General features: G+C 50.3%; 3 annotated features.

Moving 5' to 3' along the window:
• Positions 314 to 834: an enhancer, noted in NCBI's record as "H3K4me1 hESC enhancer chr19:54465032-54465552 (GRCh37/hg19 assembly coordinates)". NCBI's record gives its function as "activates a minimal SCP1, AML or CMV promoter by ChIP-STARR-seq in primed H9 embryonic stem cells {active_cell/tissue: H9 hESC(primed)}" and the evidence as "EXISTENCE:reporter gene assay evidence [ECO:0000049][PMID:30033119]".
• Positions 1,645 to 2,545: an enhancer, noted in NCBI's record as "H3K27ac-H3K4me1 hESC enhancer chr19:54463321-54464221 (GRCh37/hg19 assembly coordinates)". NCBI's record gives its function as "activates a minimal SCP1, AML or CMV promoter by ChIP-STARR-seq in naive H9 embryonic stem cells {active_cell/tissue: H9 hESC(naive)}" and the evidence as "EXISTENCE:reporter gene assay evidence [ECO:0000049][PMID:30033119]".
• Positions 4,756 to 5,290: an enhancer, noted in NCBI's record as "OCT4-NANOG-H3K27ac hESC enhancer chr19:54460576-54461110 (GRCh37/hg19 assembly coordinates)". NCBI's record gives its function as "activates a minimal SCP1, AML or CMV promoter by ChIP-STARR-seq in naive H9 embryonic stem cells {active_cell/tissue: H9 hESC(naive)}" and the evidence as "EXISTENCE:reporter gene assay evidence [ECO:0000049][PMID:30033119]".

Raw genomic sequence — 12,122 nt, 5'->3', positions numbered from 1 at the left:
CACCATCCCACTAACCCCACTCGGAGGAGTCCCCACCACCGCTAATAATTAATAAATAAGATGAAATCTCTCTCCACTCCTGTCTTCTGCCCAAGAAAGTCGTCCCACCATCCCACTAACCCCACTCGGAGGAGTCCCCACCACCGCTAATAATTAATAAATAAGATGAAATCTCTCTCCACTCCTGTCTTCTGCCCAAGAAAGTCGTCCCACCATCCCACTAACCCCACTCGGAGGAGTCCCCACCACCGCTCACACTCACAGCCCTCGCCCCTAGCCCGCGCCGCCTCCGCCCCAGGGGGCTCCACGATCCTCATCGCATGGGAAGCCACCCCCCGCCATGATGCCAAGCCCCACGCCGCCGCCTCCTCCCCAGGAGCCCCCGTCGCGTTCTTCCTTCCTTAGCGACCCCCGCCCCATCACCATGCGGCGCCCACCAGCTCTCCCCACTCTTCCCCTGCAAGCCCCACCTCTCCACCCGCTAGAACCCTTCCCTGTCAGCCCAACTTTTCCCTGAGCGTCTCCACAACTTAAGAAGCCCGAGTAGCACCACTTCCGTGGGAGTAACCTCCGCGAGCCCCCTCCGGTCTGGCTTTTGTCATTCCATCACTCCAAATGGTCCCCCACAGTTTCCTCTCCTTAGGAAAAAATAAATCTCTCAACCTCTCTTCAACTAAAAAGGAAAAATTAAAAGAAGAAGAAAAAGAAAAAGAAAATCCCAGCTGACCCTCACAGTTTGTGCAACTCGGAATCACCAGCCACCCTCAGTCAGCCTCCTCTCCCTGGAAGCCCCCTTCCTGCCTCGGGCAGCCTCCAACACACCTGGAAATCACCCGAGGACCTTAAAAATTCGGATGTTTGAGTCCCACCTGAGAAAGTCCGACATGGTTGGTCTGCAGTGTGGCCTGCGCATGTAAGTTTTTAAAAGCTCCCTGGGGAATTCTAATGCACCCAACATCAGACCCACTGGTTTGCAAGCTGCCCCCCCCCCGCCATCTCCAGCCCATTCCCTGTCACAGCCCCCACTGTCTCCCCACAAGCCACTCACTCCCCACCCCATACTATGCCTTTACTCCAGGAAAACCCCCACCCTCTCTTTTGCTTTAGAAGAGTTTTCTGAATCTTCCCACCCCGCCACCCCCCCCCCCACAACTTAAACGAACTCATATCATAACCATCGTTTTCTCCTCCATTAAGAAAAATTTCCTCCGTGAGTTCCACGGCATTTTCTACTCGCAAGAATGGCTTCCTCCAGACCCCAAATGTCTCTCCACTCAGGACCATTCCAATCTCTGCCCTGTACTCCCATAGCAGGGGGCACACTGTACCACCCACCCGCCCCTCTGCACTCACAGCAGCTCCCACTGCCTCCAAATCCCCTCCTCGTAGCCCTTCATCATCACACGGGATCTTCAGCACACTGTTTCCCCCAACTTGAGATCCCCCTAACTCACTTTGAAGCCCACTCTCTCTTCAATGTACCAGGAAGCATCCTCCCCAACTTCTCTCTCATCATATAGAATTCCCTTGACTCACTTCCTCTTGCTCCACCGCTATAGCTCCCAGGTTCTCCTCTGCCCCGGAAAATCCCCTCCGCAGGCCCCCACAGGCTTCCCTTCTTGGGAACGCCCCCCAGTACTCCCCTCTACGACTTCACCTGTACAGGAACACACACTGTAGCCCCTCATCTTCTTCCACATGCAGAAAGAGCCCCCCCAGTAGACTGTGTCCCTCTGAAAAATGTGATCCGCAAGACTACAACTCTCTTTTCAATTAGGAATACTTTCCCAGCCTGCACCCGCTGCCCCGTGGCTCCTTCATTTCTCTCTTCCACATTCTCCCCCGACCACCATGCCCCCAGCCCTGCCTGTCTCCCCCACCCCAACTGTCCTCTGGGGGATGTACTCCTTACTTGCTTCCACACTGCTTCTTCAACTTCTTCCCCCAAACCCACTATAGTTAAGAGCCTGGAAACCTTAGACGAAGAGGGGATTAAAAAAAAACAAAACAAAAACCAGAACCTAGGTCCCAGTACAGGGTGACCTTGGCCTCCTGATTGCTTGCCCGTCTCCACTGCCCCCCATCAGCTGGCCTCAGACTGGGGCTGCTCCGAGGAGGGGCTGTGGAAAAAGGTTGTCTATGGGGGGTGTCTCCATGGCAACTGGGCCTAGTGCCCCACACGTTGTGTTCCCTCCCCCACCTCAACTCCCGTCTGCCCACACACAGCCCTTCCTCAGGCCACAGTTCAGCAGCCCGCTGGACAGGGCAACCCCCAGCCTCCCGGCCTGGGCGCCGGCCCCTTCCTCTCTTTTCTGTCCGCATGCTGAGTTTCCTCTCTTCTTGATCTCTTGGCCTCTTCTCCCCGAATTGGTGCCCCTCACCACCAGCAGGGCCACCTACCCTGTCTTAACAGATATCTGCTCTCAGTGGGGTAAGCCTGTGACCCCAGGCCCCTAACAACCTGGGATAAGAGGGGAAGGGAAGAGGAGGGAAAGGAGGGAAATTCTCCTTCCGTCCAAAAAAAAAAAAAAAGATTCGAAGATCTTTTCATTTTGTCAATTTGGGGCACAATCTGGTTTTAGGGACTCTTAGTCCATCGTTCAGCAGCTGCCAGGGAGAAGAGAGCTGGGGACCCCCAATTCTAAAGCTTCCGGATATGAGGGGGTCACTCTCCTTTCTCCTTAGGAAGGGGACCAGCTCTTTTCTCCAGAATTCGGGGGGGGGGATCACAGAACATTAATTCTACCTCCACCCACCTCCGATTAATAAAAAGATCTGTCTCACCTCTGTTAATGATAGGTCAACTCTCCGATGCACGGAGGAGGGGACGTCGAGCCCCCCCTGTTGGCACCCCCCCCAGAAAAACCTTTTGGCTCCCAATTCTCGCTGCTTCCCCCTCCCCCAGCAGTGAGGGACCCAGGCGTCCGACCTGGTTCGGGGAGTGGAGATGAGGAGGCGTATGGGGAATGGGGGTGCTGAGGTCAGGCTGGGGCTGGGGGGCAGCTCTGAGCCTGGGCCCCAAGGGAGTGAGGGTCGGGATATATATATTAAAAAAAAAAGGTGAGGAGACAATTTGGTTCTCGTGTCGCTGGGTAAAGTGCGGAGCTGGAGGACGAGAGGGAGGGAGTAGGGAGGGAGGGGGAGGGGAGCTGCTGAGGGATGGGGAGCCTCGGAGAGGAGATGGATGGGGGAAGGGAAAGAGGGGGGCAGGGTCGAGTGGCAGAAGGAAGCCGGAGGAGAAGAGAGAGATCCAGAGAGGGAGGGAGAGAGACAGAGAGAGACGAGGAGAAACGGAAAGAGAGAGACCCAGAGACCGCGAAACAGAAATGGGGGAGGGAGAAATTTGGGGGAGGCAGCGGCTGGAAGCAGAAGGAAGTTGGAGAGATACACACAGAGAAATATCCAGAGAGAGAAGGGGACAGGGACAGAGACTCAAAGAGAGAAACGCAGGGGCTGGGGGGGAGGGGGTGGGGGAGGGCTGGGGTAAGTGTGTGTGTGGGGGGGGTCAGGATCTGGGAAACAGAAGGAAAGAAGAGAGAGGGAGAGAGTCATCCAGAGAGGAGGGAGGAGGGACAGATGGGGAGAGACAGACAGAAAGAGAGAGACTGAGAGGATGGGGGAGAGAGGGGGGAGAGGGAATGAAATGGAGAGCGGGTAGGGAGAGAAATTGGGGATGGGGGCAAGGTCTTGCTAGAGAGAAGGAAGCTTTAAAGAGAGAAGAAGATGCGGAGAGGGAGCGGGGGAGCAAGATAGTAAATGAAAGAAATGGAGGGTAGAAGGGCCTGGATGGCAGAAGGTACCTGGGGAAAGAAAGGCAAGTGCAGGAAAAGAGGGAGACCCAGAGAGAGACAGACGGAGAGGGACTGAGACAGGAAGAGAGAGAGATCCAGAGAAACAGAGGCAGACACAGAGACTGGGGATGCACCCGAAGGAAGCCCAGAAAAAATAACGGGAGAGGGGTGAGGCTGAGAAGCCCCGAGGAGGTCAGAGATGAAGGATACCCCTGCCCCCGCCCCCTCCCGCGTCCCCAGCCCCGGATCCCTGCCCCCTCCCCCATTCCAATGCCACCACCCCCACCCCCACTAGCCTCCATCTCTCTTCAGCATCGCTTGCCGCCGCCACCGCCTCTTCCTGTCGTCATAGCAACAGGATCCAGGCGCCCAGCCAAGGCTGGCAGCGGCGGCCGGAAATGAGGGGAGGGCCTTTTCAAAAGGACCCCAGGAATGCTCCCCTTTCCCAAAATCCAAGGGAAAGCGCAACTTCCCGGGGTCTTCCCACCGCTCCTCCTCCAAGTGGCGAGGGCAAAGATTCCCCCCCCACCACCCCAGATAAAACAATATTGAACTTACCACGTTAACAAGCCTTTTGACTTTCACCAACAATTTTTTCTTTTCTCTTCTCATCCCCCTCCCCTCCCCTAGTTCAAACCTGATGGGGAAGAAGGGGTAGAGTTAGATGCCCCCGAGATGGGGCTGGGGCTGGGAAGGAGAGTAGAATGCCAAAAGCTTGGGTGCAAATATGTCTTAAAGAAACTTGTCTGGGACTGGGTAGGGGTCTATGCAACAGTTTTGAGAAGCATGGATCTGTCCGTTCTAGAACTAGCTAGTAGGTTGGGGAAGTGGAACAATCGGAGGTGGAAAGTCTGAGATCAGAGTCTGAAAGTTCGGTCTTGGGTCCAAATTTCACGGATGCTCCCAAGGCTTCGTGTGACCTTGGACAAAACACTTCTTCTCCTCTATACTCAGTTGCTCTTGGTTATAAAGGGCACAGAAGCTGCCTCCAACCAAGTGAGAACGCGGATGGGAAGTGGGATTGCACGTGGCTCTAGGCAAGCCGTTTACTCAAGACCCGATCCTCGTAAAAATGTTATCAGAAACTAAGAACTAGTAGCCATGGCTGATTGAAGGCTGTTGGCATGCTTCGCTGTCTTACAGAAGTCCTACAGAATCTTTGCCGTGTGGGCACCAATGTTCCTACATTAACCATGAGTAACCTGAGGCTCTGAGACAATAGGGGTTATGGGGGTGGAGGGCGGCCAACAATAGGTGAAATTCATAGTCATTTAACCCAGCACACCTTTACTGCTCCCTCCTGGGGGCTGGCAGAAACAGGAATAACCTGTGTTCCCTAAATCTATTTACCTAGTGTTTGCTCCTGCTGGTTCCTTCCTTTGGAGGGGCGATATCTTTCAGTCCCCAGCATCTCACATTTCTACTGAAATTTCTTTAGGTCGTTTCACTTAATTCTCACCCCGCCCCATGGGAGAAAGTTTAGACATGCATTCCAACACTCCTGGTTTAGAAGCTAAGAAACACAGCCCCCAAGGGAAGGGGTCTGGAATTCATTCGTTTGAGGAAAGTTGATTATTTTCTGCTCTTTTGCTGGGGGATGCGGGGGGAGATACATCAGCAAACAATGATGATAACCAATATAAACTGGACATTTAGGCTGGGTGCAGTGTCTCATGCCTGTAACCCTAGCAATTTGGGAGGCCGAGGCGGGCGGATCACCTGAGGTCAGGAGTTTGAGACCAGCCTGACCAACATGGTGAAACCCCGTCTCTACTAAAAATACAAAATTAGCCGGGCATGGTGGTGCATGCTTGTAATCCCAGCTACTTGGGAGGCTGAGGCAGGAGAGTCACTGGAACCAGGGAGGTGGAGGCTGCAGTGAGCTGAGATCGAACCGTTGCACTCCAGCCTGGACAACAAGAGTGAAACTCCGTCTCGAAAAAAATAAAAATAAAAACAAACTGGGCATTTAATATTACAGACTCCAAGGAGCCTGAGGGTATTGGTTCCATCTTCAAAAGAAGTGGGTTCTGTTAGCAGCCTCCACTTTAAAGATGTGAAAACTGAGGTTGAGAGGTCAGTTGTATTGGAGGACATTCATCAGGACATCAAATTCCAGAGCCTGTGCTGATACAACTGCACTGGTGAGAACGACTATGAAGATAATTTTTTAAAGCCAGGGTTTCCCAATCTCAACGTTCTCAACATTTGGGCTGGATAATTTTGTGTGGTGGAGGCTGTCCTGTGCATTGTAGAATGCTGAGCAGTACTCCTCGCCTCTATCCACTAGATGCCAATAGCACCTCCAAATAGCACCCTAAAAATAGCATTTGGGGACAACCAAAAATGTCTCCAAACATTGCTCAATGTCCCTTGGGGAACAAAATCGCCCCTGTTGAGAACTATTAAATTATACGAACTAGCAACTGGGGGAAACCTCTTTATTTTATTTTAAATGAAAATATATTTCCTAGTCCAATCAATATAGGCTCATGGTTTAAAAAAAGAAAAGAAAAAAAATCAAATGGTACACAAGGGACTACAATAAAAATAATTTAGCCTGTTCCACCTCAAGTCCTTTTCCTTATTGGAAAAGTCTATTAACATTCTTGTTTTTGCTTTTGTTCTTGTTACTTGAGACGGAGTCTCACTCTGTCGCCAGGCTGGAGTGCAATGGCGCAATCTCGGCTCACTGCAACTTCTGCCTGCCGAGTTCAGGCCATTCTTGTGCCTCAGCCTCCCGAGTAGCTGGGATTACAGACATGCAGCAACATGCCCAGCTAATTTTTACATTTTTAGTAGAGATGGGGTTTCACCATGTTGGCCAGGATGGTGTTGATCTCCTGACCTCTTGATCTGCCTGCCTCGGCCTCCCAAAGTGCTGGGATTACAGGCATGAGCCACCACACCCGGCCGTCTATTAATATTCTTAGCTATTTCTTCTCTTACTTGCCTTGACATCCCTAAATAATGATTTTCTTTTGGAATCAAAATTATACATTATTTATAGATATTTTTTCTCTAATAGATAACAAATCAATTCATGCAGCCCTCACTTTTCCTTCCCTTCTTCCTCAAGTGTTAGTTCTTCTATTGGTAATTTTGTGACACTAAGTGATGCATGATTACATCATGATTTATTTCAACAACTAAAGAGTATATCTCTTTTTTTCACAGCTTTATTGAGATCGAATTCACATATCATGCAATTCACCCACTTAAAGTGTACAATTCAACGGCTTTTAATTGTACAGAGCTGTGCAATCATCAACTTCAGATCACTTTTAGAATATTTTCATTAGTCCAAGGAGATACTGTGTACTCCTTAGCCATCACCCCCAATCTAAGCACCCACTCCAGCCCTAGGCAATCACTAATGTACTTTCTGTCGGTATAGATTTTCCCATTCTAGACATTTCATAGAAATTGAATCATACAACGTATGGTTCTTTGTGTCTGGCTGCTTTCAGGCTAAGTAAGTAATGTCTTTAAGGTTCATCCATGTTGTAGCATGAGCCAGTGCTTCATTCCATTTTATGGCAGAATAACATTCCATGGTATAGCGGGAGATACCACATTTTATTTATTCATTCATGTATCAATGAACATTTGAGTTTCTTCCACATTTTGGTTATTACAAATAATGCTGCTGTGAACATTTGTGTGCACATTTTTGTGTAGACATATGTTTTCATATCTCTTGGGCACATACCTGGCAGTGAACTTGTAGAATGAGTTTAAGGAATGAGATAGCATCTCTTCACTTCATTTTGAAAGATGGGAGTATTACCAGGTGTGGTGGTCCACGCCTGTAATCCCAGCACTTTGGGAGGCCGAGGCGGGCAGATCACCTGAGGTCGTGATTTCGAGACCAGGCTGGCCAACATGGTGAAACCCCGTCTCTACTAAAAATACAAAAATTAGCTAGGCATGGTGGTGCACGCCTGTAATCCCAGCTACTTGGGAGGCTGAGGCAGGAGAATCGCTTGAACCTGGGAGGTGGAAGTTGCAGTGAGCCAAGATCGTGCCACTGTACTCCAGCCTGGACAACAAGAGTGAAACTCTGTCTCAAAAAAAAAAAAAGCCGGGCGCAGTGGCTCATGCCTGTAAACCCAGCACTTTGGGAGGCCAAGGCGGGCAGATCACGAGGTCAGGAGATCGAGACCATCCCGACTAACACGGTGAAACCCCGTCTCTATTAAAAATAAAAAATAAAAAAAATTAGCCGGGCGTGGTGGCAGGCGCCTGAAGTCCCAGCTACTCGGGAGGCTGAGGCAGGAGAATGGCGTGAACCCAGGAGGTGGAGCTTGCAGTGAGCTGAGATCATGCCACTGCACTCCAGCCTGGGCGACAGAGTGAGACTCTGTCTCAAAAAAAAAAGAAAGAAAGAAAGAAAGAAAGATAGATGGATGGGAGTATTGAACCCACTGATCACTCCTTCAGCTCATGGAAGGCCCCTTCAGAAGGGGTGTCACAGAAGAAGCAGGTTGTAGACTTTTATAAGATCTCATTTCTACATTTGCTCACATATTCATTTCACATTAGCCAAGGCCTCTGCTGGGCTTGACCCAGAGACCTAGAGCCTGCAGACTTAGAGATAGGTTTGCTAATCCCTTCCCTTGAGAAGGTCCTCGGTCCTCACTTCCAACTGTGATAGGCAGAATTTTAAAATAACCTCCAAGATTCCCACCGCCTGGTGTACACACCCAAGAGAATCTCCTTCCCTTGGGTGTGGACAAGAGCTGTCACTAGGAGGTGATGCAGTCCCCATGATTATGTGACATTATATGGCAAGGTATGGGATTTTGTAAATATAATTAAGGTCCCTAATCAGTTGACTTCATTAAAAAAGAAATTATCCGGCTGGGCGCAGTGGCTTACGTCTGTAATCCCAGCACTTTGGGAGGCTGAGGTGGGCGGATCACGAGGTCAGGAGATTGAGACCAACCTGGCTAACACGGTGAAACCCCGTCTCTACTAAAAATACAAAAAATTAGCCAGGCAAGGTAGCGGGTGCCTGAAGTCCCAGCTACTCGGGAGGCTGAGGCAGGAGAATGGCATGAACCCCGGGGGTGCGGAGCCTGCAGTGAGCCGAGATCGCGCCACTGCACTCCAACCTGGGCAACAGTGAGACTCCGTCTCAAAAAAAAAAAGAAAGAAAAGAAAAGAAATTATCCCAGGTGGGCCTGGCCTAATCAGGTGATCTCTTAGGAAAGGATCAAGACGTCAGAAATAACCAAAGCAAAGGAGTTGCTGAGAACCCTGAGGAAGCAAACTGTCTTGTCATGGCAAAGACCTGAGAGTGAGTGGCAACTGCTAACTAGAAAACAGAGACCTCAGCCAAACAACTACAAGGAAATGAATTCTGCTCAACCTGTGGGAGGTTGGAAGTAGTTCTCTCCCTAGCCAAATCCCCAGCAGAGGACACAGCCAGCCGGCATCTTAACTTCAGCCTTGTGAGACCCAGAGCTCACCAGGCGCAGTGGCTCACGCCTGTAATCCCAGCACTTTGGGAGGCCAAGGCAGGCGGATCACTTGAGGCCAGGGGTTCGAGACCAGCCTGGCCAACATAGTGAAACCCTGTCTCTACTAAAAATACAGGTGTGCTGCCGCACACCTGTAATCCCAGCTCCCTGGGAGGCTAAGGCAGAAGAATCACTTAAACCTGGGAGGCGGAGGTTGCAGTGAGCCAAGACTGTGCCACTATATTCCAGCCTGGGCAACAGCAAGACTCCGTCTCCCAAAAAATAATAATAACATAAAATTCTCGGCCGGGCGCGGTGGCTCATGCCTGTAATCCCAGCACTTTGGGAGGCTGAGGCAGGCGGATCACGAGGTCAGGAGATCGAGACCATCCTGGCTAACACGATGAACCCCCGTCTCTACTAAAAAATTCAAAAAAAAATAGCCGGGCGAGGTGGCGGGCGCCTGTAGTCCCAGCTACTCGGGAGGCTGAGGCAGAAGAATTGTGTGAACCCGGGAGGCGGAGCTTGCAGTGAGCCAAGATCACGCCACTGCACTCCAGCCTGGGCGACAGAGCAAGACTCCATCTCAAAAAAATAAAAAATAAAAAATAAAATAAAATAAAATTCTCCTATGTCTCCCTATTGCCCTTAGGAGTAAATCTAAGCTCCTCACCTATGTCCTTTTGCCAAGAGCACAAGTCTCATCGTATGCCGCCCCCATTGCTGCCTCCTGCAGACTGAAGGTGTCTTCCCTACCATTCCCAGCTCCTTCCTGTTCTGAGGGTTTCCTGGGTGGTTTTCTTCCGTGGAATCCCCTTCCATCTCAGCCATATGGCAAACCCTCTATCCACTCTTTTTTTCTTTCTGAGACAGGGTCTTGCTCTGTCACCCAGGCTGGAGTGCAGTGGTGGAATCTTGGTTCACTGCAGCCTTGACTTCCCAGGCTCAAGCCATCCTCCCACTTCTTCCTCCCCAGTAGCTGAGACCACAGGCAAGCACCACCACACCCGGCTATTTTTTTTTTTTTTTTTTTTTTTGTATTTTTGGTAGAGAAGGGGGTCTCGTCATGTTGCCCAGGCTGGTCTCAAACTCCTGAGCTCAAGCGATCCGCCCACCTCAGCCTCCCAAAATGCTGGGATTACAGAGCCACTGCACCTGGCACTATCCACTCTTGAGATTCAACTTACACGCTCCTTCCTCCAGGAAGCCTTCCCTGACCTCCCAAGCCTCCATCAGGGTCTACATCAGTGCTCCCACCAGGCCTGCACTGGCTCCTTAAAGCCACAGCAAGGCTATATTGTGATTGACATGTGGGTCGGTCTTCTCCGCACTGGTGCCGGAGCTGTTCAAGGACAGGCACGGGTCTGATTTACTTCCGTGTCCCCTAGATCCCAGCTCAGCCCTGATGGACAGGAGCCCTCGGGTCCAGGGATGATGAACAAATGAATGAATGAATGAACGAATGAATGAGAAAATGAATGAGTCAGGGAATGAGTGGATACATATTCTAGGGTCTCCACCCTCTACGCAGCCAGTTCCAACCTCTTGTCCCTATCCAACCCTTCTCCCTGCCTCACATCCTGAGTGTGTGGTTTTTCCCAGGTGCGCGAGTGTTTCTCATCAACAACAGCTGGGGCCTTTGTGTTTCCTCAAGAGGAACAGGGTGGTGGTGGCATGTCTTCCTGCTGTACCAGGAAGCGTCGATCAGCGTTTCTTAAACGTCCTCATTCAGGGTGAAGTGGAAATATTCCAACGCTGGGGAGCCAGGTGGCTGGAGTTCCAACTCCGGCTCTTCTTTGCCTCCCCAAGGAACCCGGATCCAAAGCTTGATTCTCACTGCAGCTTCCTTCTCTCATTCTCTCATCTGTAGAAGGGGAAGAGGGATACCGTTAGTGATCTCTCTCTTGTTGAGACTGTGATTCGAAATCACACATCCAAGGCATTCTGCCAGAGCTAATGGGATGTCACTGAAGCCCCTGATATTATGTACAGAATATTGTGAGTATAAGTATTTTTTTCCTGGGGGTCCGTAGCTTTTATCTGACTCTCCAAGAGGTCCCTAATCTCCTGCAGATTATCACAGCTGGCAGAGCGCCGTGGCTCATGCCTGTAATCCCAGCACTTCGGGAAGCTGAGGCGGGAGGATTGCTTGAGCCCAGCCTGGGCAACATAGGGAGGCCCCCGACTCTACAAAAAATATATATATTTTTTTGAGATGGAGTTTTGCTTTTATTGCCCAGGCTGGAGTACAGTAGCGCGATCTTGGCTCACTGCAACCTCCACCTCCCAGGTTCAAGTGAATCTCCTGCCTCAGTTTCCTGAGTAGCTGGGATTACAGGCGTCCGCCACCACATCCGGCTAATTTTTTGTATTTTTAGTAGAGATGGGGGTTTCACCATGTTGGCCAGGCTGGTCTTGAACTCCTGACCTCAGGTGATCCACCCGCCTTGGCCTCCCAAAGTGCTAGGATTACAGGGATGAGCCACCATGCCAGGCCAAAAAATAATTCTTAAAAAATGAACCAGGAGTGTAGTCCTAGCTCCTCAGGAAGCTGAGGTGGGAGGATGCCTTGAGCTCAGGAGGTTGAGGCTGCAGTGAGCCAAGGTCATGCCACTGCACTCCATCCAGCCCAAGCGACAGAGAAAGACCCTGTCTCAAAATAAAAATTAAAAAAAGAATCACAGCTTATGAATCAATTTAGGAAAAACTCATTTGTGTCCATAAAAATAAAGGTAAAAAAGAAAAAAAGAAATATATATATATATATATATATATATATATATATATATATATATATATATTTTTTTTTTTTTTTTTTTTTTTTAGACGGAGTCTTGCCCTGTTGCCCAGGCTGGAGTGCAATGGC

This window comes from Homo sapiens, chromosome 19, assembly GCF_000001405.40.
Source record: "Homo sapiens chromosome 19, GRCh38.p14 Primary Assembly".
In the NCBI taxonomy this organism is placed as follows: domain Eukaryota; kingdom Metazoa; phylum Chordata; class Mammalia; order Primates; family Hominidae; genus Homo; species Homo sapiens.
This window is presented reverse-complemented; position numbering and strand designations above follow the sequence as displayed.